This window comes from Homo sapiens, chromosome 2 (assembly GCF_000001405.40).
Source record: "Homo sapiens chromosome 2, GRCh38.p14 Primary Assembly".
Taxonomy (NCBI): Eukaryota; Metazoa; Chordata; class Mammalia; order Primates; family Hominidae; genus Homo; species Homo sapiens.
This window is the reverse complement of record NC_000002.12, coordinates 232,795,010-232,821,651: the sequence shown is the minus strand read 5'-3', so window position 1 is coordinate 232,821,651 and position 26,642 is coordinate 232,795,010. Positions and strand designations below refer to the sequence as shown.

The 26,642-nt window shown below is 38.5% G+C and overlaps 1 protein-coding gene across 5 annotated transcripts in view; it reads right to left on the bottom strand.

Annotated features, from left to right (window-relative positions):
- GIGYF2 (GRB10 interacting GYF protein 2) overlaps window positions 1–26,642 on the bottom strand; it is a 163,275-nt gene that overhangs the window by 38,954 nt on the left and 97,679 nt on the right. For all 5 annotated transcript variants that reach the window (NR_103492.1, NM_001103146.3, NM_015575.4 and 2 more), the window contains 8 exons: window positions 25,431–25,590; window positions 14,995–15,161; window positions 11,841–11,932; window positions 10,301–10,408; window positions 9,161–9,261; window positions 5,915–6,015; window positions 4,620–4,781; window positions 1,667–1,825 (listed from right to left, as the gene is read on the bottom strand). Coding sequence is in view for 4 of the 5 variants with exons in the window: in NM_001103146.3 (NP_001096616.1) it covers window positions 1,667–1,825; window positions 4,620–4,781; window positions 5,915–6,015; window positions 9,161–9,261; window positions 10,301–10,408; window positions 11,841–11,932; window positions 14,995–15,161; window positions 25,431–25,590 (1,050 nt within the window). In the remaining variant the exon portion in view is untranslated. The remainder of the gene's footprint in view (window positions 1–1,666; window positions 1,826–4,619; window positions 4,782–5,914; window positions 6,016–9,160; window positions 9,262–10,300; window positions 10,409–11,840; window positions 11,933–14,994; window positions 15,162–25,430; window positions 25,591–26,642) is intronic.

The window sequence follows — 26,642 nt, the reverse complement described above, 5'->3', positions numbered from 1 at the left end:
GGAAAATAAATAGACATGCTATAGCCTGGAGGAAAGTATGCACAACATTTATCTAACAAAGGACATGTACTGAGAATATAAGGAATCCAAACTAAAAGTAAGAGCTAAAAGTATACAACTTGTAAGAAAAAAAATAGATAAATTGGACATTATTGGCCAGGCGCGGTGGCTCATGCCTCTACCTCAACACTTTAGGAGGCCAAGGCAAGCGATCACCTGAGGTCAGGAGTTCAAGACCAGCCTGGCCAACATGGTGAAACCCTATCTCTATCAAAAATACAAAAATTAGCCGAGCGTGGCAGCACATGCCTGTAGTCCCAGCTACTCGGGAGGCTGAGGCAGAACTGCCTGAACCTGGGAGGCAGAGGCTGCAGTAAGTCAAGATGGCACCACTGCGCTCCAGCCTGGGCAACAGAGCGAGACTTTGTCTTAAAATAAGAAAGTAAGTAAGTAAATAAGTAAAATAAAAAGATAAATTGGACATTGTCAAAGTGAAAAATTTACGTGTTTCAAAGAACACTGTCAAGAAAGCAAAAAGACACACCTGTAATCCCAGCATTTGGGAGGCTGAGGCAGGCAGATCATTTGAGGCCAGGAGTTGAGACCAGCCTGCCAACAAGGCAAAACCCCATCTCTATTAAAAATACAAAAAAATTAGCCAGACGTGGTGATGCCTGCCTGCAGTCCCAGGTACTTGGGAGGCTTAGACACGAGAATCGCTTGAGCTGGGGAGGTGGAGGTTGCAGTAAGCCAAAATCGCGCCACTGCACTCCAGCCTGGGCAACAGAGTGAGGCTCTTGATCTCCAAAAAAAAGAAAAGAAGAAGAAAAAAAGAAACCAAAAAGAGAATACAAAGCCTAGAAATAAATCCATACATTTACGCTCCTTAACATAGATCCCAAAAACATACAATGAAGAACAGTCTCTTTAATAAATGGTGGTGGGAAAACTAGATATCCACAGGCAGAAGAATGAAATCATAGCCTCATCTCATACCATACATGAAAATCATTACGTTAGAAATTATTGCTGGGTGATGGCCGGGCACAGCAGCTCATGCCTGTAATCCCAGCACTTTGGGAGGCCGAGGCGGGTGGATCATGAGGTCAGGAGATTGAGACCACCCTGGCTAACACAATGAAACCCCGTCTCTACTAAAAATACAAAAAATTAGCCAGGCATGGTGGTAGGCGCCTGTAGTCCCAGCTACTTGGGAGGCTAAAGCAGGAGAATGGCATGAACCCAGGAGGCGGGGCTTGCAGTGAGCCAAGATCACACCACTGCACTCCAGCCTGGGCGACAGAGTGAGACTCATCTCAAAAAAAAAAAAAAAAAGAAATTATTGCTGGGTGATTTATGAGAATTTGTTGTACTATTCCGCTTTAGTTTGAAACTTGCTTTAAAAAAGACCATGTATTTTACAACATTTCCACTATACAGCTGAGCAAAAACCAGAAAGATAAGACAAATTTTATTTTTCCTCTAGAAAACAGGTTTTCATTTGAAGAAATTTAGACAGAAGTAATAAGAGCCAGTTAGGTTTCTTTTGGTTAATTTTTAGCAACCTGAAAAAATTTTAGATAGGCTACCTTAATGTCCTAATATTTTCTAAATCACTAATTCCCAGCTTCAAAGGAACAATTAGAAGACAAAACCATCTGGTCACCTGTTTGCGTAACAATTCTTCCTGCTTCCGCCTTTCTTCCTCTTCTCTTCTCCTCTCTTCCAGTCTTCTAAGAGCTTCTTCTTGCTGCTGTCTTTCTTCCTCTTCTCGCTGTCGCCTTAATGCAATTTCTTGCTCCCGCTGGCGACGCAGAGCCTCTTCCTAAGGAAAAAAGATGGAGGGTGGGGGGTGGGGGAGGGACTCAGGTCTATCATTCAATTTATTATGTCATATTTGGAAAGTAATAGGCTATCTGCTGCTAAGACTCTGTTAAACAGTAAACATAAAAGTAATCATGATCTGGAGTAAAAAGTATACATGTAAATTGGGGAATTGGACGCATTACAATGAAAAGAAAATTGAATTTAAAATATTAGCAGTTAAATTACAATAAACTGTGAAGTCTACCCTGGTTTCTATATTAGCTACATCATTTACTGATTAACCGTAGAAAGAGCTACATTAGAAGTATAGCTTTGTTTCTCCACTGGTATCTTTAATCCCTATTTTTTTAATTAACTGGGAACTTAAGGCATAGAGAGGGCAAATCAACATAGCCACCAAAAATTTGGGGTAAGATAAGTTCTCCCAGTCAGAAGTAATGAGTAAAGCCATGTGTCCCAGAACGTGTTCTGAAGATCAAAAGTCCCACCAATACTATTAAGTATTACACAGAAAGAAGTCCCATTGTTGAGATCATTTATAGAAAACTGCGCAACACAGAACTAAACATACTTTTTTACTGCAATAATCCTTAGAGCCTCTATATGCTGCAGTATAGTGTGACTCTAAGAATTAACCGTAGTTCTCATTTCATCTCAGCATGGATCTTTTTTGTTTTTCAAAGAGCACCTCTTGGGGCCAAAAAGTAGGCAACAAGTGGTAAAGGCTAGACTGTGGGGCTATTAAAAGAGTGGATCCTTTCAAGTGAAGCTAGGAAAACCCCAATGGAAAAATGAGCCAAGCACATGAATGGTGAATTCCCCCCAACAACAAAAAAAGAAAAAGAAAAAAAAAGACCAAAAAATATTAAAAGTATATACCTCGCTGGTTATAAATCCTTAAGCAAAGACTTAACTACAAGGACTTTCATTCGAACACTTATCTAACAATGAAGAACTGGAAACAACCCTCATGTCCAACAATAGGGAATTGGTCAACTTATTATAATTTACTTATAAAATGAAATTTAATACAGCTAGCAAATATGATGATGTAGATTTTTAGATACACATTTGACATGGAAAGATGACATAATTCATGTCAAAAGGAGGGCTATAAAACACAAGTACAAATAATATATACCTCCAGCCTGGGTGACAGAGTGAGACTCTGTCTCCAAAAAAATAAAAAAAAAGAAACCAAAAAGAGAATACAAACCCCAGAAATAAATCCACACATTTATACTCAATTGATTTTTGACATAGATGCCACAAACACACAATGGGGGAAACGACAGTCTCTTTAATAAATGGTGGTGGGAAAACTGGATATCTATAGGCAGAAGAATGAAGTCAGACCCTCATCTCACACCACATACAAAAATCATTACATTCAAAATTATTGCTGGGTGATTTCTGTCTAAATTTCTTCAAATGAAAACCTACTTTCTAGGGGAAAAATAAAATGTGTCTTATCTTTCTGGTTTCTGCTCAGCTATATTGTGGAAAATGTTGTAAAGCAAATATACGTGTAGAGTTTGTTTTTGCTCCCTATTTAGAAACACTAAAATAGAGAGAAAAGGTTCATTAAGGGAAAGAATAAAGAGAAGGCAGAAGTCTTAGCCAAAGATACTTTTTTAAAGTACATTTGAATGGTCAATAAGCATGTGAAAAGATGCCCAACAACACTAATCATTAGGGAAATGTAAATCAAAACCACAATGAAATATCACTTGATGCTCATTAAAAGTGTCATTATCAAAAAGAAACAAAGCAAAAGCAAAAAAATAAAATAACAAGTGTTGGTGAGAATGTGGAGACACTGGGAACAGCTGTGCCTTGTCAGTAGGAATATAAAGTGGTGCAGCAGCTGTGGGAAACAATACGGCAGTTCTTCAAAAAATTCAAAAGAGAATGACCATATGATCCAGCAACTCCACTTCTAGGAAAGTGTTGAAAGCAAGGACTCAAACAGGTATCTATACACCCGTGTTCACAGCAGCATTATTCACAATAGCTAAAACGTGGAAGTCATCTAAATGTCCATCAACAGAGGAATGGATAAACAAAATAGGAATGGATAAACACACAATGGAATATTATTCAACCTTTTTAAGAAAGGAAATTCAGATATATGCTACAATATGAATAAACCTTAAGTGAAATAAGCCCAACACAAAAAGACAAATACTGTATAATTCTACTTACATAAGAAATTGAGTTAGTTTAAATTCACAGACACAGAAAGAAGAATGGTGGTTACTAGGAGCTATGGATGGAGGGAGTGGGGCTCCTTGTTTAATGGATATGCAGTTTCAGTTTGCAAAGTTGGAGAAGTTCTACAGACATGTTTGTGAGGGTTGCACAGCAATATGAATGAATATACTTAACACCACTGAAAGTACACTTAAAATGGTAAATTTTATGTTATGTATATGTTAGCACAATTTTTTTAAAGCCCATGTAACTTTTAAAATTTGACATTTAATGCTGCACATCAAAGTTACTTTCTCATTGTTTTTAGATGCAAGGACAGAACTTCTGAAATCTAACTGGTTTATAAAACTCTAGGAAATATGCAAAGAATATCAATTCTAGTGGTTTACTAGGACTGAAGAATATCCCTACAGTGGGTGTTGGTGAAAAACAGAGATTCTTTCCAAAGGTGAGTGAGTCTTCTAAGGTTCTAACCCCAATCCTGTGGACTTCAGGAGTATCTGTGAAATGATGAAAGAAAGCAGCCTGAAAGCCCTCATCAAGCACTAATCCTATGGTCAGAGTTCCCAGATACATACCTGTTTCCTTCGGGCAAGTTCTTCTTCCTCTCGCCTTTTCCTTTCTTCTTCCTGCTGTCGCCGAAGAATTTCCTCCTGTTGTCTTCGGAGTTCTTCCTGCCTCTTTCGCTCTTCCTCTTCCCGTTTTGCCCTCATTTCTGCCTCTCTTCTCTCTTGCTCTAGCTGTGATTACACAAGAGTACTCTTAGAAACTTGAAACCAAGCACAGGAACACTCCGAAAGCACTGACCAGTAGTATTCGTTCATTCAATCAGCTGCTTGTACCGTACTGCACTGCAACCAGGTGATCCAACAGATCAATAGATAAACAAAATATGTTATATACATACAATGGAATATTAATACTATTCAACCTTTAAAAGGAAGGAAATTCTGACATACGCTACAACATCAACACCCTGTAAGAGCTCTAAGCTGTGACATATCACAGTAATTAGAAGAATTTTATGACTGTCTCAATTGAATGCACTTTCCTCCCACCTGTACTTGCCTCCACACTCCACGTTACCATTATACCACCCATGAGAGTAACATCAGAATGCTCTTGGATGGTACTTCTTTACTCATCCCTACAAATAACTTTCTGATTGAACATTTAACAGTGTGGCTATAACGTTTTAACAGCAATGTTGTATGAACCTTTCCACATTCTGGGAACTCTAAGGAGACTGTCACGACCTCAGGGGATAAGAATGCATTAAGTATAAAACAGCAACAACACTCTCTTGTACGCCTGAGAACCTAGAAATCATTACAATGACACTAGGTATTGATGTAGACATTCTTTTCTGGCAAGTACTAAAACCAAAATTCAAGATTTAGCTCTTCCAAAAAATGTGAATGGAACACACAATCTAATGTTAATGTCGGGCTTTTTGGCTGCTACGTCTGAGGATACTAAGAAATATAAACAAATACCACTACAAAGATTCAATGGGAGAACTCATGCCACATATCAGGAGTCTCATAAACAATGTAGTGGATATTTTCTCACATTCTTGTTACTTATAACAAATGTTCATACCATGAATAATGTTACCTAAAATATATATGTGTCTATAATCAACAATGTGCCAACTAACCAAACCAAACATAGTAATTTAAATTCTGTTTTGAGTTTTTTTTTTTTGGGAGAAGAGAGCACAGTAAAGATACAATATGAATGTACTTATACCAGCTAAGCAGCAGTAAACTGAAAGTAAAAAGCATAGCTAGCTAGAGAGATGAATAAACAGCAATGTTTATGTCCTGCAGCCAGATGACAATGCACTGTTGCAGAAGAATGAGTTTCAGACCTTTGCAGCTTTGGCCTTCTCTAGCTGCTGAAGCTGTTCCAGGGCAGGGCCTGGTGTCGTGGTGTCCAGAGGAAGATCCCATACACTACCACCTTCCCAAACTGTAAGACAACAAAAGAAACAACGAGGAATGACAGAGCTTACACACATGGTGACATATCCGTAGGAATCATGAAAAAAGCTGCTTCCCTGTGCCTAAATGAGCTCCACCAAACACATCTGTTTTGCCTCTGAGAAGACTGAACTGCCAATGGACTCTAGTTTCTGTGAATATCCTTCAACACATCTAGAATGAAGGGAAGTACCAGGCATTTATCAGGGAATTAACTTCATCCTTACAAAGCCCTATAATGTTTCTATTCATACCCCCATTTTTACAGATGAACAAACTAAGGGTCAGAAGTAGTTTCTAACACTCCCAAGGGCACATGGCAAGCATGTGGTCATGCCAGGATTTAAATCCCAGTGTATTACACTCCAAAGCACATAGATTTCCAGCAACCTTACAGCCTCTCACTGCACACCAACTAGAGAGAAGTAGGTGGTTGCACAACATTGTGAATGCCACTGAAGTATTCACTTTAAAATGGTTAATTTTGTGTTAAATGAATTTCATCTCAATAAAGAGGGAGTGCAAGTAAGCATTACAGCTGGAGCTGTGGAGACCTCTGGAAAGGCCAGGCAGGTCTTACAAGTGAGACCTGGTCCTGCTAACCTGAAGGGCACTGCAAGATCACATTTGGAAGTAAACAAACAGATAATGGTTTCTGAGTTCATTTTCCTATTGCCAGCGAAGTTTTCTAGCACCACTTTTCAGCATTCTCTAATTTCTACATTCCTATCATAGTCTATTTATACACCATCAAATATTGTCTGTATAAAACCAATGGACTATTTTTAAAGGAACTTGACTGCATATAAACCCAAAGAGATAAATTGTTTAATACAGTACTTAAAAGTTTCCAAAACACTACAGAATACAGGTTGTGGATCCATTATCCAAAATGCTTGGGACCAGAAGCATTTCAAATTTTGGATTTTTTCAGATTTTGAAATATTTGCATATACATAATGAGCTATCTCTGGGATAAGATCCAACATAAAATTTATTAATCTTTCATATACACTTTATAGACATAGCCTGAAGGTACTTTTTTTTTGGGGGGGGGGGGTTTGAGGTGGAGTCTCACTCTGTCACCCAGGCTGGAGTGCAGTGGCGTGATCTCGGCTCACTGCAACCTCCGCCTCCAGGGTTCAAGCGATTCTCCTGCCTCAGCCTCCGGAGTAGCTGGGATTACAGGTGCCCGACACCACACCTGGCTAATTTTTTTTTATTTTTAGTAGAGATGGGGTTTCACCATCTTGGCCAGGCTGGTCTCGAACTTCTGACTTCGTGATCCACCCACCTCGGCCTCCCAAAGTGCTGGGATTACAGGCGTGAGCCACCACACCCAGCCAGCCTGAAGGTAGTTTAATGCAACATTTTTAAATAATTTGAGGCATGAAAAAAATGTTTGTGTTAAGTATTTACGTGTAAAATTGTCCAATCATGGGTTGGGCACCATGTCTCATGCCTGTAATCCTAGCAGTTTGGGAGGCAGAGGCAGGCGGATCACTTGAGGCCAGGAGTTTGAAATCAGCCTGGCCAACGTGGTGAAACCGTCTCTACCAAAAATACAAAAATTAGCCAAGCGTGGTGGTGGGTGCCTGTAATCCCAGCTACTCGGGAGGCTGAGGCAGGGGAATCTCTTGAACCCAGGAGGCAGAGGTTGCAGTGACCCGAGATTGTGCCACTACACACCAGCCTCAGCAACACGGCAAGACTCTGTCTCAAAAAAAAAAAAAAAAAAAAAAAATCCACTTGTGAAATCATGTCAATGCTCAAAAAGTTTTAGATTTTGAACCATTTTGGATTGTGGACTTTTGGATTAGGGATGGGTACTCAACCTGTATTCTTAACATCCTAACTATAAACGGCTATCAAGAAAAAATAAGGTACAAACAGCATGGAAAGTCGATGAGGGAAGACAATCATCCTTCTGCAATAATCTGCGGGGTCAGTGTTAACAACAGAACCATGACCTGAATGGCTCAACAGCTCTAGAAAAACTCCACCAAGGCCTATAGTTCTTGAGGATCTTCAACACCAACTATAATCTCTTGAAAGGACTACCCATGGACCAAACTATCCATCTCTGCAAGTATTTAGACCATAAGAAACAGAGGTGCTCGGCTGGGCGCAGTGGCTCACACCTGTAATCCCAGCACTTTGGGAGGCCAAGGTGGGCGGATCACTTGAGGTCACTTTGAGACCAGACTGGCCACAATGGTGAAATCCTGTCTCTACTAAAAATACAAAAATTAGTCAGGTGTGATAGCGTACACCCAGTCAGGTGTGATAGCGTAATTAATCCCAGCTACTTAGGAGGCTGAGGCAGAAGAATCGCTTGAACCTGGGAAGCAGAGGTTGCGATGAGCTGAGAACGCACCACTGCACTCTAGCCCGGGCAACAGTGCAAGAGTCTGTCTCAAAAAAAAAAAAAAAAAAAAGAAAGCAAAGAAACAGCGGTGCTTCACCCATACCAAGACTTAAAATAATCTCAACCCCAAATTTTCTAATTTGATGTAAAAATATAAAAATGAGAAAAGGTGCTCAATTCATAGCAGGTTTTTCTTTTCCCAAAATTTCTGGGTACCTACAGTGTTTGTTAACACCAATTACTTTTTTTTTTTTTCTTTCTTAGAGTTTTGCTCTGTTGCCCAGGCTGAAATGCCTTGGCATGATCATAGCTCACTGCAGCCTGGAACTCCTGGGCTCAAGTAATCCTCCCATCTCAGCCTCCTGAATAGCTAGCACTACAGGCACACACCACCATGCCTAGCTTGTATTAATTCCTAACTCAAAAGAATAGGTCACCATTACTATGTTTTTATGTATGCTTTTTTTCCCGATCTGGCTAAAGAGATCGAAAATAATTTAAATGATTTTTCCACACTGATCAGAACAACATAAAAGAGATGCTGACTCAAAAAAAAATCCACTAAATAAATTCAAACAAATCCTTAAAAGTATATTTTCAGTAACACCTTCAATATTGCTTGGATCTAGTAAAAAATGGACCTTTTGTTAATATCAAATACAAAATGGATTCAGAAACCTAATATATTTTTTAAGAACTGAATTGTAAAATTATTATTAGACTCTGAATCCTCAGAGTGGTACTAAAGGTTAATCTAAGTTTTTACCTGTAGGCTGTGAAGCTGTTGGCTGAAGCTCCCAGATAGAGCCAGTATCTGGCACGGACACAGACCTAGTTACTGAGGGAATGATGTTCTGATCAGATATTCTGCAAAAGGGAAATAAAAAATTAACTTGTTCTTGTCATTTGCAGGAAAAAAAAAAAAAGATGAAGAGGAATTTCTAGATTAGCAGGTTCTCCAGGTTATTTGGCTAGAAAACGCCTTCACTCTTTTACTAAAACTTAACACTACCAAAGCAGTTTGGGGTGGAACAAAGAGAAGGGCACAATGATCACACTTCTGGAATCCTCTATGGTAATACATATTGACTTCTAAATGATGGATATACCCACTGTATATCTATATCTTAAAAGATATGTATATCTTAAAGATACTGTATATCCGTATCTTAAAAAACCCAGATCATCTCAATAGAAGTCACAGAGACAGCATATTATAATGAAAAAAGGTCTGCATTTTAGTTCTGAGTTTCCTGTGTGTTACATTAATCAAGTCCTACAGCCTCTCAGAGTCCCAGTTTGCCCATCCATAAAATGGAGCTCCTACCACCTAAACTGCCTACCTCATGGGATGGGTTAAGGCTCAAAAGAAATATAAACAGTTTTGGCTTAATGAGACAATAAGATTTTTAAGAGCAGTGACTGATACTTGTTCAGGAGAAATATTACTCTGAACGATAATCTGAAACAGCAGAAATTTCTTCTAGACTTCTAGCATAATTTCCTTTTCCTTAGACCTACCTTAATGGCTTCTGAGTTCTAGAAAATTACAACCTTTTGTGGTGTGGCTAATACTTTGAGATACTATGAGTAAAAGTGAAATTAAAATCCTAGGCTACAGTTTTTCTGTCGCAGGTTCCACAAGATGACACTGTTTCTCAAGAGTTCCCATTATTCTTTGGTCTTTTGATTAATCAAAATTTATATCTATGAGTAAAAGACCAAATAAACGCTTATCTCCACCTGAAATATTTTTTTAAAATATACTTTTTTACATACAACATGCAGGTATGTGTTGGGAGTGTTCCAGTGCCAGAAATCACACACTATACCAGAATTTCTCCTTTCTTCTCTTTCTTTCACAACACATGCACCCCATATGACACATAATGGAATGACCACCAACCTCATCTTCAAGGTCTGAAACTGTTGAAGAAGAAGTGCCAACTGCTGCTGCTGCTGGGAAGACAGTGCTGCTTTCTGCTGTTGGGCCAAAACCTGTGCATATTGTTGTCTTCAAAAAGTAAAAAAAAAAGTATAACCTGTCAATCCACACTTAGTTCACATGGCTGAGATGCTGAAAGACAAAGTTCAATTCAAAGCCCCCCAGGAGACATTATTAGAAATAGCTATCAAATATATTTTATAATTCTTCATTATGATAATAGACACATAGAAAATTCTATGCTTCATTCTAGAAAGAACTGAACTCATAGATGGCGTGTTTCCGAGTGAAAGAGGATAGCAAAAAAATTCACAATTCAGTGCAAAGTGGTCTATTCAGAGAAAATATTTTTAAAATCACGAATGTCAAAAATTGGTAAACTCCAAAGATAACCTTTTATCAGAAATCAAATGAAAAATGAAACAGATTCAAATTAGTAGCTTTAACCATATGACGTACCCTTTGTAAAAAATGTAACACTTCTATAAAAATTCATACATTGATCGTCTTCAACTTGGAAAAATTTAGGTAATTTTTCTTCACTAGATCAGGGTTAAACTTTTGTAATGGGCCAGAGAGTAAATAGTTTCATCTATGCAGCTCATATACTCTCTGTTGCAACTACTCAATTCTGCCATCATAAGGCAAAAGCAGCAATATACATCCTACAAACCAACAGGTGTGTCTGTTTCAGTAACACTTTGCTTATAAATATAAAAATAGAGAGCAGGCCAGATTTAGCCCAAAGGTCAGACTTTGCCAACCTCTGCACCACAAGAACAGCAAATCTTATTTCTTCTACAAAAAGGACATAACAAAACCTGACTGACTTTGCCATCATTCCACACCACTCCTAAAATAATTAACTTTAACTTCTTTCCCACCCTCTCGCTTATATACATATATATTTTTTTTCCTCTGTGGCATTCAAAGCTGAGCCACTCAGGAGGCACTTAGAAACTAAAGAGCTTACAAAATTAAAGTTATGTGTCATCTTCTAAACTTCTGGTATTTAAAAGTAAGATAAGCCAGGAGTGGTGGTTCATGCCTGTAATCCCAGCACTTTGGGAGGCGAGGCAGGCAGATCACTTGAGGCTGGGAGTTCGAGGCCAGCCTCGCCAACACAGTAAAACCCCATCTCTACTAAAAATACAAAAATAGGCTGGGCGTGGTGGCACACGCCTGTAGTCCCAGCTACTCAGGAGGCTGAAGCACGAGAATCAATGGAACCAGGAAGGCAGAGGTTGCAGTGAGCCGAGATCATGCCACTGCACTCCAGCCTGGATGACAGAGTGAGGCTCTGTCTCAAAAATAAATAAATAAATAAATAAATGACAACACTAAAATTAGAAGGTATGGTGGCAAGACGCCACTAGCTGGGTGACTGAAGTGCCATATAAGCCGTTAGTCCTCTCTACTGTAAAAGGTGAGACTTGAGAGCAGATTCTATTTAAAGTCCTTTTTCATGCTGCAGTACATCCTACTGCATTACTCTTCTTACTGTATTAAAAACTGCTGGTACTGCAGGTGCTGCATCTGGTATAAGGCTGTGAGTTCTTGCTGCCTGGTCAGTCGTTCCTGGTCCAGCTCTCCCTAGGAATGAAGTGGTGAGGAAATAAATACCATTAAATAAACTGCAAAGAACCTAAAAGCCACTTAGTACAGGTATCTGAAATCAAAATGAATCTAAGACCTTTACCTCCCAGCTCTACCCTTTTACCCAAACACTTGAATAAAAACTCAGACATCTTTAAAAACTAAACAACACCATCTAGTGGAAACAGTGGTGTCAATATTACAAAAGATTCCCTAAGGTGAGAAAGGGTCCTTATTTCAGCTGCCATTCTCCATTCCTGCCCTTAAAGCTGAATGTTCAACTGTACTTCAGAGTTATTACTGTAACTGAAAGACTGTATAATTAGATAATGTAGAAATTAGAGAAACTGGATATAACACAGAAAAATGTAAAAGTATCTAAAGGTCAAAGGAAATGTTACAGAATTTTATAATGGTATATAAGGAATGCAGGGAGCCAGTATGTATCTTAAAGATGTTAAGAATATAAAAAGAGGCCGGGCGTGGTGGCTCACACCTGTAATCCCAGCACTTTGGGAGTCCAAGGCAGGCGGATCATGAGGTCAGGGGATTGAGATCAGCCTGGCCAACATGATGAAACCCCGTCTCCACTAAAAATACAAAAATCAGCTGGGTGTGGTGGCACATGCCTGTAGATCCACCTATTCAGGAGGCTGAGACAGGAGAATCACTTGAACCTGGGAGGCAGAGGTTGCAGTGAGCCTAGACTGCGCCACTGCACTCCAGCCTGGGTGACAGAGCAAGACTCCGTCTCAAAAAAATATATATATATGTATGTATATATGTATATGTATGTATATAAACTTTGATAACTATAACTCTCTCCCCCAAAATAAACTGTTTCTGTTGCTATTAATACATCATGAATTAGAAAAAATAAGTTGTAGTAAAATAAAACCAATTTTTTAGCTTATATGTGAAATAATATGACTGGAATTTAAATTATAAAAAGTTAAAATTAGGAGAAAGAAACATGAAGTATAAGATAACAGAAGTAAAAGTGTAAGTATGACAGACTAAATAGGTAAATCATGAGTTTATATCTTTATTATATATTGATTATAGTTTGAAATAAGATACTTGATACACAATTTCTTAGGGTAGGGATTACCTGAAATTCAGAGACGTTTTTCTTGCTTTTCGATACTGGAGGATAGCTACTACCTTAGGTTCATCTAAAATGTCTACATGAAAAACTAAGTTTCAAGGTATACATTCATCATGAAGTGGGGCTCTCTTCTTATCAACAATATTCAGGTCAAAGACAATGACAGACAGGAAGCAGGGCTTTGCACAGTTTCCCTCCTATGCAGGTATGACTGAGGCTCAGCTCCTCTAACCGGAAACTGGGAAGTGGACTACTCCAAGTATGCCAAGATCCAAGAGATGAGCTTTTAGCTTCTGAGATGTGTAAGATCAAAACTCATCTTAATTTCAGAGAAGGGAAATAAGGCTTAAACTTGATATATAAGTTAAATTTACATGCTGCAATACACAGTATAATTTTTCTTGTGACTTAAAACAACTAGGATGGTGTGAGAAATAATTCCTCTCACCTAGGAATCTTCCATTCTAGACCACTGCTCTCCACAAACTATAGGTCTCAACACATTAGTGGATTGTGAAATCAAATACTGGGTTAAGATCAACATTTAAAAGAAACAAAATGGAAAAAAAGCCACTTTCCTCACCTACACACTCCCTTGACTACAGAGGCTAGGTCTTGCTCATCTTCATCTCCTAAGAACCTACTACGAGGCCTGGCACAGGCCCTCAATATACAATTGATGAATAAGTCAATGGTGACTTTACTGTAGAAATGCAGTGTCCACACTAAAGGTTTATTGGCTGGGTGCAGTGGCTCATGCCTAAAATCCAGCACTTTGAAAGGCCAAGGTGGGAGGACCACCTGAGCCCAGGAGTTTGAGACTGACCTGGGCAACATGGCGAGACTCCATCTCTTTAAAAAGAAAAAAAAAGGTTTATGGTAACTTTTAACTACAGCCCGTCACCAGACAGTCCAACCTGGAGAAGAAAAAATGAGGTACAGGTGAAAGACCTCCAAAAGGAACACTACTGAGAGGGTCCAAGAGCAGCCCAAGAGGAAGAAGGGTTTCCCTGCCAACAGTACCCCAGTGTCAGAGCCCTAGAAAGATCACTACTAGCATTACGGTTCCTTTTATTATTTTTTTTTGAGACAGGGTCTCACTCTGTTGCCCAAGCTGCAGTGCAGCGGTGCAATCACAGCTCACTGCAGCCTCAACTTCCTAGGCTCAAGTGATCATCCCATCTCTGCCACTGATTGCCACCATACCCGGCTAGTTTTTTATCATTATTATTTCATTACTATTTGTAGAGACAGGTCTCACTTCGTTGTCCAGGGTGATTTTAAACTCCTGGGCTCAAGCAATCCTCTAACTCTGGCCTCCCAAATCCCTCCCACACCAGGATTACAGAAGTGAGCCAATGTGCCCGGCCATGGTTCCATTTTTTAATTAAAATACCAGTAACTAATTTTTTTAAGCCCTAAAAATATTGTGAAGCACTGGTAACATTTATTTTAAGGCAAACCTCAAATTTAGAAACTTTATGAATGAGAAGGCAAGAGGCAAATGAAGTGGAAGAGAGGGGAATGTTTATTCTAACTAGAGGAAGCAAAGAAAGTCAAAGAGGTCAACTGTGTTGAAGCCTAGCAGATAAAGGTAAAAGCTCTGAAATGAGCTTAGAAAGGTAAGGTGCCAGGCATTGCAGGACCTCGTAGGTAGGCCAGGATAAGATGTTGGTCTTCATTCTACATCTGCTGGAATGCTACTGAAGGATTCCGTTTCCCTGTTGGGGAGGAGCTGGGGTGTGAAGAGGATGGGCACAGGTTATTCGAGTTTTGAAAAGATCATTATAGCTAAGTATTCAGTCTTCCATTCAGACTTTCCCTTACCATTTCCATTAATTTCAAAGAACTACAATTCCTTCATTAGATGATATATTTGGGTTGTGTTTTCAAAGAGAATCAAGTGTTTCCGTGACTAATATGTATTCCAGGTGAGGTGAAAGGTACTTACCATATGAGGAGGGGGAGCTGGACCTGGAGAAAAGGGAACCCTTCCCCACATTTTCATGATATCGCCAAGAGGTTGGAAGCTTTCATCACACGCTCTCTTCACCAATAAAGACATAGTAAAATAGCCCGCCTGAAACCATTCTGCCATCTCCTGATTATTGAAGGGACCTATAACAGCACCAATTAAACAGAAAGACAATAAGAAACCTTTCAGACTCAAAGAGAAAAAAAATATTTCCTGCATCTGATTCTCATCGAGGTGGCATCTGTCAAAATGTTTTATACTATCTAATTTAATTCACCTCTAAAGGTAGCTAACAGATTTCTAACTACTAAAATAATTTTTAAATAAAGTCTGTGTTTATACATCCCAAATTATCAGCAGCACTTCAATTATAAGGAGCATAACTGTCTCTATCTCAATCTCTACAACAATTCATGTGTCAGTAAAGTATGATACAATTGAAGAGTTAACTATTTACTAGACTTTGTATCATTTAGGCGTAAAGAATATAAACATGCAGGGCTGAAAACGTTCTCCAATTTTCATTTTCTGCCATAGATTAGCGAAAGTGGGGCAAAATGTAAACAATAATTAAGACAAATTATAATTCGCTCTCTGATCTTGGTAGTGGGGAAAAAACGAGTATTCTCTAAATGTTTTATAATATGAAATAATCAAGTATTTTATATACATAAATAACATACAAATTCACTCTGATTAAAAACCATTAATTCATTCAACAAATATTTACTGAACATTGATGATATATGACATAGACAGTAGGGATATGGCAATAAATAAAGCAAAGCCCTGGAACTTCCACTTCAGAAAATGAAGTAGATGTACTTTTCCCTATTCCTCCTCTAAGCACAACTGGAAACCCTGGACATTGTATTAATATATAAAACAAATAACACTGAAAGGTGGAGAGAAAAAGGCAGGCTAACTAGGGGTCTCAGTGATGACATGATCGTGAATTCCCTGTTTTTTCTTTTTATCGCATATATCACAGATTTGGAGATGAAGAAGCCAGCAACCAGAACACATGACCTAATAGTATGCTATCTACAAGAAAGTCACACAAAATATAACAAAGTAGGCAGACTGAGGAGAGAAAAAGATATATCATGCAAATATTAACTTAAAGTAAGTTATATTCATGTTTGATAAAGTTGACTTCAGAGCAAAGAAAATTATCAGAGACAGACAGATGTAATAAAGAAGGGTCAATACACATAGAAGATGCAGGAATTGTAATATGTATGCACCAAACAACAAAGCTCCAAAATATACAAAACAGGATCTGACAGAACTGAAAAAAAGAAACAGACAAATCCACAAATTGAAGACGTAACCACCACGTGATAGACCAACTAGCAGAAAATCTGCAAGATTACAGAATTCAACAAAACCATCAACCAACAGAAGTGAAGTGACTTTACAGAACATTCCAAATATAGAAAAATACATATTCTTTTCAACTACCCACAGAACATACAGCAATAACAGACCACATTTGGGGCAATAAAACAAACATAAAAAGATTTTTAAAAATTAAAATCATATTCAGTGTATACTGCTCGAGTGATGGGTGTACCAAAATCTCACAGATCACCACTAAATAACTTACTCATATAACCAAATATCACCTGTTCCCCAAAAACCTATGGAAATAAAAAAAAATCACATATAGTATGTTTCTTTGACCACCAAGAATCAAGCTAGAAATCAATAAAAGAAAAATAACAGAAATCTTCCAAATACTTAGAAACCCAAAAATATACTTCAAAATAATCCATGGGTAAAAGAGGGAGTCTCAAGGGAAATTAAAATACACACAACGGAATGAAAATAAAAATACAGGCTGAGCACAGCAGTTCACGCCTCTAATTCCAGCATTTTAGGAGGCCAAGGTGGGTAGATCACCTGAGGTCAGGAGTTCGAGACCAGCCTGGCCAACATGGTGAAACCTTGTCTCTACTAAAAAATGCAAAAATTAGCTGGGCATGGTGGCGCATGCCTGTAGTCCCAGCTACTTGGGAGGCTGAGGCAGGAGAATCGCTTGGACCTGGGAAGCAGAGGTTGCAGGGAGCCGAGATCGCGCCACTGCACTCCAGCCTGGGTGACAGAGTGAGACTCCATCTCAAAAAAAGGATAAATATGACTGTCTATGTAAAATCTCAAGGAAACTACCCAAAAAAACAGAAAACAAAAAGAACTCCTTGAGCTAATAAATGAGCTCATTTACTATCACTGAAAAAAAAAAAAAAAAACTGAGATGCTCAGATGTAAATCTACATGTACAGAATGCATGCTGAAAACTACGCAACACTGATGAAAGAAATCAAAGATCTAACAACACAGATAGACATACCAAGTTCATGAACTAAAAGACTAACATGGTAAAGACATCAAGTCTTCTCAAACTGATAGAGAGGTTTAACATAATTCCTATCAGAATCTCAGCAAGATTTTTAGTAAATACGGACAAAATTATCCTAAAAATTTTTATGGAAAGGCGAAGGAAATACAAAGCTAAAAAAAAATTTTTTTAAAAGAAGATTAAACTGGGAAGAATCAGTCTACCCAATTTCAAGACTTATTATACAGCTACAGTAATCAAGATTGTACAGTACTGGTGAAGGAAGAGACAGTGATCTATGGGACAAAATTAAGAAGCAGAAATAGGCCTGTAATCCCAGCACTTTGGGAGGCGGAGGCGGGTGGATCATGAGGTCAGGAGATCGAGACCATCCTGGCTAACAAGGTGAAACCCCGTCTCTACTAAAAATACAAAAAATTAGCCGGGCGCGGTGGCGGGCGCCTGTAGTCCCAGCTACTCGGGAGGCTGAGGCAGGAGAATGGCGTGAACCCGGGAAGCGGAGCTTGCAGTGAGCCGAGATTGCGCCACTGCAGTCCGCAGTCCGGCCTGGGCGACAGAGCGAGACTCCGTCTCAAAAAAAAAAAAAAAAAAAAAAAAGAAGCAGAAATAGAAACAGACCCACAAAGAAATAGACCCACACAAATATGCTTAACTAAATTTTGACAAAGGTGAAAGAAAACAATTTAAGAGAGAAAAGACATTCTTGGTCCCGAAGCAAACGGACACTCATTGAGAAAACAACAACAAAAAACAACTAGCTTATATGAAAATTAATTTAAAATGGACCATGAACTTAAATGTAAATTATAAAAACTATAAAATTTTTCCACACACACACAAAAAAAACCATTGGCATCTAAAGCTAGGCAAAGTGTTCTTGTTAAACTTAATACAAAAAAGAACAACCTATAAAAGAAAAACATTTATCTATTGGATTAATCAAAATTTACACCTTTTTGCTCTGTGAAAGACTCTATTAAGAGAATGAAATGAAAAGATAAAGACTGACAAAAAATATGTACAAACCACATATCCATCAAAGGACTAGTATCTAGAATCAGTAATCAAAAATCTCTGAACAGGCCGGGCACAGTGGCTCACGCCAGTAATCCCAGCAGTTTGGGAGGCCAAGGCAGGCAGATTATCTGAGGTCAGGAGTTCGAGACCAGCCTGGCCAACATGGTGAAACCCCATCTCTACTAAAATGAGCCGGGCATGGTGGCACACGCCTGTAATCTCAGCTACTCAGGAGGCTGAGGCAGGAGAACTGCTTGAGCTCGGGAGACAGCGGTTGCAGTGGGCTGAGACTGTGCCACTGCACTCCAGCCTGGCCGACAGAGCTAGACTCTGTCTTTAAAAAAAAAAAAAAAAAATCTCTGGACAAAGGAAAGCCCTGCCCTGATGGCTTCTCTGGTGAAAAACGCACCAAACATTTAAGGAAAAACTAATCATAATCCTTCTCAAACTTTTTCCAAAAACTGAAAAGGAAGCAAGATTACCTACACTTCCTAACTAATTCTATGAAGCCAAAATTACCCTGGTATCAAAGTCAGACAAAGGCTCTAAAGAAAAATATAGACCAATATCCTTTATGAACACTGATGCAAAAATTCTTAACAAAATACTAGCAAAGCAAATTCAGCAATATATTAAAAAGATTATACACCATAATCCAAGTGGGATTTATTTATTCCTAGAATGCAAGGATGGTTCAAGGCATCAATATATGAAAATTGATCAATGTAATATACCATATTAATAAGGGGGGAAAAAAACCACATGGTCATCTTAATTGACACAGAAGTAGTATCACCCTTTCATAAGGGTCAAGAAACTAAGAATAGAGAGATCTAACTAAATATAATAAAAGTCATATATAAAAATCCCACAGTGGACATCATATTCAATAGTGAAAAACTGAAAGCTTTTCCTCTAACATTAGGAGATAGCGAAGGACGCCCACTTTCACCACTTCCCTATTCAAGATAGTACTAAAGGTTCTAGTCAGAACAACTGGGCAAGAAAAAAAAAAAGCATCCAAATTAGGAAGAAGTCTGTTCACAGATGATATAATCTTTTATGCAGAAAATTCTAGATTCTTTTTTTCTAAAAACAGGTTAGAAGTAAAAAATAAATTCAGCAAAGTGGCAGGACACAAAGTCAACGCTGAAAAATCAGTTGCATTTCTATACACCAACAATGAACAATCTGAAAAGAAAATTAGAAAAAAATTCCCCTTACAATAACATCAAAAAGAATACATACTTCGGGATTAACCAAGGATGTAAAAATCTTGTACAAAGAAAACTACAAAACACTGCTAAAAGAAATTAAAGACCTAAATAAATGGAAACACATCCATGTTCATGGACTGGAAGATTTAACATTGTTACAATGTCAGTACTACCGAAAGCAACCTACAGATTAAAGATAATCCCTATTAAAATCCCAATGAAGCTTGCTGCAGAAACAGAAAAATCCCATCCTAAAATACATACGAAGTCTCAAAAGACAGCAAATGGCCAAAACAATGTTTCTTTCTTGAAAAATAGCAAGAGATCTATCATGCAACAATGACTATAGTTAACAATGTATTGTACTCTTAAAAAACACTGCCAAGTAGATTTTTAAGTGTTCTCACTATAAAATGATTAGTATGCTTGTTAATTAACCTGACTTAGCCATCCATAATATGTATGCGTATTTAAAAACATCATGTCGTATACAACAAATATATAATGTATATGTCTTTTTTTTGTTTGTTAAGACAGGGTCTCTGTTACTCAAGCCAAGTGCTGTGCTCAATGCAGCCTCAACTTCCTGGGCTCTAGCAATTCTCCTGCCTCAGCCTCCCAAGTAGCTGGGACTACAGGTGCATACCACCATGCCTGGCTTTTTTATTATTTGTAGAGACAGGGTCTCACTGTGTTGCCCAGGCTGGTCTCGAACTCTTGGACTCAAGTGATCCTCCCGCCTCAGACTCCCAAAGTGCTGAGATTACAGGCATGAGCCACCACGCCCAGCCCCTTATATGACTATTTAAAAATGTAATTAATAAAATTTTTTGGCCAGGTGCAGTGGCTCACACCTATAATCCCTCTTTGGGAGGCCAAGGTGGCAGAGGAAAGACAGGGAGTACCACTTACGGCCAGGAGTTCAAAACCAGCCTGGTCAACATAGCAAGAATTTGTCTCTTTTTTTTCTTTTTAAAGATGGGGTGGGATCTCTTGGCTCGGCGCAATGGCTCATGCCTGTAATCCCACCTACTTGGGTGGCTGAGGCAAGAGAATTGCTTGAACCCAGAAGGCAGAGGTTGCAGTGAGCCAAGATTGCCCCACTGCACTGCAGACTGCGTGACAGAGCAAGGCTCTGTCTCAAAAAAAGCGAGAGACAGGGTCTCACTATGTTGCCCAGGCTGATCTCAAACTCCTGGACTCAAGCAGTCCTCTGGTCTCAGCCTCCCAAGGAAACAGGATTACAGGCATGAGCCAGCGTGTGTCAGCTGAAACCTCATCTCTAAAAAAGAAAAATAATTAGCTGAGTATGGTGGTGTGTGCTTGTTCTAAGGAGGCTAGGGTGGGATCACTGGAGCCCAGGAGTTTGAGGCTACAGTGAGCCATTATCATACCACTGCACTCCAGCCTGGGCAACAGAGCAAGACCCGGTCTTAAAAAAAAAAAAAGAAAAAAAGAAAAGAAAAACAAAGCTGGAGGACTCACATTTCCTGATTTCAAAATTTATTGCAAAGATAGAGTAATCAAAACAGTGTAATGCCAATATAAAGACAGACATATAGAACAATAAAATAGAACAGAGGGCCCCAAAATGAACCAGAGTACATGGTCAAATATTTTGAAAAGGATGCCAAGACTATTCGATGGAAAAAGGACAGTCATTTTAACAAACGGTATTTGGAAAATTGGATATCCACATGCAAAAGAATGAAATTGGATTCTTGCCTAACACCATACTCAAAAACTCAAAATGGATCAAAGATCTAAGTGCATGACCTAAATCTGTAAAACTCTCAGAAGAAAACACAGGGCAAATGCTTTATATAACATTGGATACAATAATGATTTCTAGGATATGACACCAAAGGCATAGGCAACAAAGCAAAAATAGACAAATTGGACTTCTTGAAAATTAAAAAAAAAAAAGTGCATGACAAGACATTATCAGCAGAGTAAAAAGGCAACCCAAAGAATGGGAGAAAATATTTACAAATCATATATCTTATAAGGGATTAGCATCCAGAATATATAGAGAACTAAAACTCAGCAACAAAAAAATTAACAACCCAATTAAAAAAAAAAAGGCAAAGGACTTGAATAGACATTTCACCAAAGAAGGTATACAAATGGCTAATAAGCACATGAAAAGATGCTTAACATTCCTTATGATTAGGGAAATGCAAATGAAAACTGCAATGAAATACCACCTCACACCCATTAGGATGGCTACTATTAAAAAAGTGTTGGAGAGAATTTGGTGAAATTAAAACCCTTGTGGACTGTTTTTGAGAATGTAAAATGGTATAGTCACTGTGGAAAATAGTATGGTAGTTCCTCAAAAAATTAAAAATATAATACCACATGATCAAGCAATTCTGCTTCTTGGTATATACCCAAAAGGATTGAAAACAGGGTCTCAAAGAGATAGTTGTACCTTCATGTTCAAAGCAGTATTATTATTATTATTATTATTATTATTATTATTTTAAAGACAGGGTCTTGCTGTGTCACCCAGGCTGGAGTGCAGTGGTGCTATCATAGCTCACTGCAGCTTCCAACTCCTGGGCTCAAGTGATCCTCCTGCCTCAGTCTCCTGAGTAGTTGGGACTACAGGCACACACCATCCCACACCCAGCTAATTTTTTATTTTTTTTTTTATAGAGACAAGGTCTCTCCATGTTTCCCACGCTGGTCTCAAACTCCTGGGCTCAAGCAATCCTCCCACCTCAGCCTCCCAAAGGGTCAGAATTACAGGCGTGAACCACCACACCTGGCCCATAGCAACATTATTCACAATAACTATAACATGAAAACAATCCAAGTGTCCATCAATAGATGAAATGGATAAGCAAAATGTGTTATACACCTACAGGGGAATATTATTCAGTCTTAAAAAGGAAGGAAATTTTGACACATGCTACAACATGAACAAACCTTGAGGACATTATGCTAAGTGAAATAAGCCAGTCAAAAGACAAATACTGCACGATTCCACTTACATGAGGTGCTCGGAATAGTAAAATTCATAGAAACAGATAGAAAATTCATAGAAACAGATTTCCTCCAGTCCCTGGCAATGGTAATTGCCAGGGACTGGAGGAAATGAGGAACTATTGTTTAATGTATACAGTTCCAATTTGGGAAGATGAAAAAGTATTTAATACCACTGAACCATATATTTAAAAATGGCTAAGATGGTAAATTTTAAGTGTATTTTAACAATATTTAAAATGAATTAAAAAAAAAACGTAAAATAAGCAAACAATCCAATTAGGACATGAACAAAAAAGACATGAAACATGAAGAAAAACTTGAATGAAGAGGACAAATAGATGGCCAGTAAGAACATGCAAAGATGTTCAACATCATTAGCCATTAGGGAAATGTAATGTAAATTTAAAACCCCAGTGAGGTATCACTACACACCTCTCAGAATGGTTAAAACAGAAAAATAGCAAAAACATCAAATGCTGATAAGGATGTGGAGAAACTGGATTGCTCATACATTGCTGGTGGGCATATGAAATGGTATAGCCACTCTGGGAAACAGTTTGGCAGTTTCTTTTAAAACTAAGCATAGAACTACCATACAACTCAGCAAATGCACTCCTGGGCATTTAGCCCAGAGGAATGAACACTTATGTTCCCTCAAAAACATGTCCATAAATGTTTATAGCAGCTTTATTCATTATAGCCCCAAAACTTTAACAACCCAGATGTCCTTCAATGGGTGAATGGTTAAACAAACTTTGATAACATTCATATCACACAATACTACTCAGGAATAAAAAGACACAAGCTACTGATATATGCAACAACCTGGATTAATCTCCAGAGAATTATGCTGAGTGAATAGAACCAATCTCCAAAAGTGTGATTCCATTCCATTCTTGCAATGACAAAATGCAGAGCTGGAGAACAGATTAGTCATTGCTAGAGGTTAACAAAGGAGTTGGGGTAGAAGGGAAGCTCAGGTGGCTATAAAAGAGCAACCTGAAGAATCTCTGTGGAGATGGAAATGTTCTGAATCTTTTTTTTTTTTTTTTTTTTTTTTTTGGAGGCACAGTCTCACTCTGTCACACAGATTAAAGTACAGTGGCACAATCTCGGCTCACAGCAACCTCCGCCTCCTGGGTTCAAGTGATTCTCATGCCTCAGCCACCTAAGTAGCTGGGACTACAGGCACATGCCACCACATCCAGCTAATTTTCGTATTTTTAGTAGAGATGGGGTTTCACCATGTTGGCCAGTCTGGTCTTGAACTCCTGGCCTCAAGTGGTCTACCCACCCTGGCCTTCCAAATGCTGGGATTACAGGCATGAGCCACCACAATCAGCCATGTTCTGAATCTTGACCATACAAATGTCAATGTCCCACTTGTGTTACTGTACTATAGTTCTGCAAGAGGTTACCACCAGGGGAAGCTGTATAAAGGGTATATGGAATCTCTCTGTATTATTCCTTATAATTACATATATAGCTATGATTATCCCAAAATAAATTTGGTTAAAACACACACACACACACACACACACACACACACACACAAGCCCTGCTCTCGTGTATCTTACCAGAGTGTAAACAATGAACAAACATGTAAAATGCCAGGTAGTAATAAATGCTGTGAAGGAGAATAGGCAGGGTAAGGGGATTGAGAGTGCAAGGGGAGTTAATTCATTGGAGAGAGCTCACAGGGTGGGCACACAGTAAAATGCTATCACTAAAATTACACTAATATGAAGTGACCAACCAATTTCAGGGTAACAGGATAGATTTCAAAAGCAGAAATGAAGAATCAACAAATATCCTTTATAGATAGCATTCTGTGCCCATTCTAATCGAACTTACACACCACACAAATCTTCTAAGGGATTCATTTGTAATACAGTACTATATTTTATCTGACATTTTTAGTAGTTCTCTACCATTTTTATCAACTCCACTTGAAAAAAAAAAACAGTCAAGGTCCTCCAACACTACTGCTGCCATCACCTTTTCAGAGTCAGGGAAACGGAAACACAGAGGTGAGTAGGCTACCTGCCTACTTAACCAACTGAGATGCCAGAGCTGAGCGTCTTAAACGTTTTGCTTAAGTTTTAAAAAGTCTTAAACATTTGCTTAAATATTATCCCTGTCATATTTGTCATCACATTTCTGCCTTGTATTCAATTTTTTTTTTAGACAGAATCTCACTCTGTCACCCAGGCTGCAGTGCAGTGGCATGATCTTGGGTCACTGCAGCCTCTGCCTCCTGGGTTCAAGTGATTCTCCTGCCTCACCCTCCCGAGTAGCTGGGATTACAGGCACCTGCCACCATGTCCAGAGCTAATTTTGTATTTTTAGTAGAGATGGAGTTTCACTATGTTGGCCAGGCTGGTCTTGAACTCCTGACCTCAGGTGATTCGCCCACCTCGGCTTCCCAAAGTGCTGGGATTACAGGCGTGAGCCACGCCAGGCTGTATTCGAATTATTTTTACATAGGTTGACTATCTCTAATACAAAAATCTGAAATCCAAAATGCTCTAAAATCTGAAACTTTTTGAGCATCACACAAAGGAAACATTCAATAGAGCATTATGGAATTTGGATTTTCAGATTAGGGATGCTCAACTGGTATGTACAATGCAATTATTCCAAAATTGGGAAGAAATCTAAAAACATCTGAAATCAGAAACACTTCTAGTCTGCGTGTGTGCGCGCGTGTGTGCTTGTTGACTTCTTTTTCTACTATAATTTAAATTAAACAAATCCCTTCTTAGAGATTCTGGAGGTAATGGCACACACTTCAGTATTTAAAGGAAAAAGGAACAACTTGCCTTGAATTTCTCCCTGAGGATCTTTGTAATACCACTTCTGCATTGCTTCATGCATCAATGGAATCGACACTCCTTTAGCTCTGTGCTCTTGCAGTTTTGATGCCAATCTTTCATCATCTAGTGCACTGTCTTGGAGATAAGCCACCATTTTCTCAGCTTGCTAGTAACAGAAAAACAAAAATCAAGGAAACAAATGATCCTAAATTAGTACTTGTACACATAATAACAGTGCCTGCCCCTTTTTTTTGGACTACTTGATCTATGAAAGTCACTATGCAAAGAACATAGCAGGTAACTTCTCCCAACAATGCCATGAAACAGGTACTATCCCCATTTTACAGAGGGGGATGCTAAAGCTCAGAGATGCCAAGTCTTGTTCAAGGTCTGAAAATTACTAATCAAATCAACTAAGATTAAAACAAACACTGCTCTGGATCAAAGCCCAGGGTTCAAATCAACACTAGTAAGAGTACTTTGTTTGTTTTTAATAGAGATGAGATCTCATCACGTTATCCAGACTGTTCTTGAACTCCTGGGTTCAAGCGATCCTCCTACCTCAGCCTCCCCAAGCAGCTAGGACTACAGGACATGCACCTCCTTGCCTGGCTAAGAGTACTTTTTAAACTAATAAGCTGTTGGTCAACTCTAAATGGTATAAACTAAACCTGTAAAAAGAATGTTAATAGAACAAAAGGCTCAATTAATACAATTATAAATGAAACGTTTTACAAGTTTTACTAAGACACTATCTCGCTTTTTCCTTTCTTCAGCATTTCCTGCCACTAACCATCCCACCCCAAAGGGAAGAGAAATTCTTTCGTAGAAAAGCAAGCTATCACTTACTTTACATATAACAATGGTACACACAATCTTGGGGAAATTTAGAGACATGAATAAGATGTTAATGCTCTGAAAGTTTAACTATTTTCCCTGTTATACTTGAAGCAAAAAATACAAAAGATACAGTGACCATCCACAGCTGCTTGTATTCACCATTTTTGGCATTCCATTAATGTCCAAAAAGAAAAAAGAAAAGTAAATAGCTAAGGGCAACCTAAGAGCAAAAAATAACCTGACATAATGACTACTACATAGCAGAAACTTATAAGCATGAAATGATTTGAAAGACAATGACTTGTACAAATAAACACTAAATATCCAGTTTTTCCAGTACTTAAAATCTAGTGACAAAAGTTTTATGTTTGAATATTC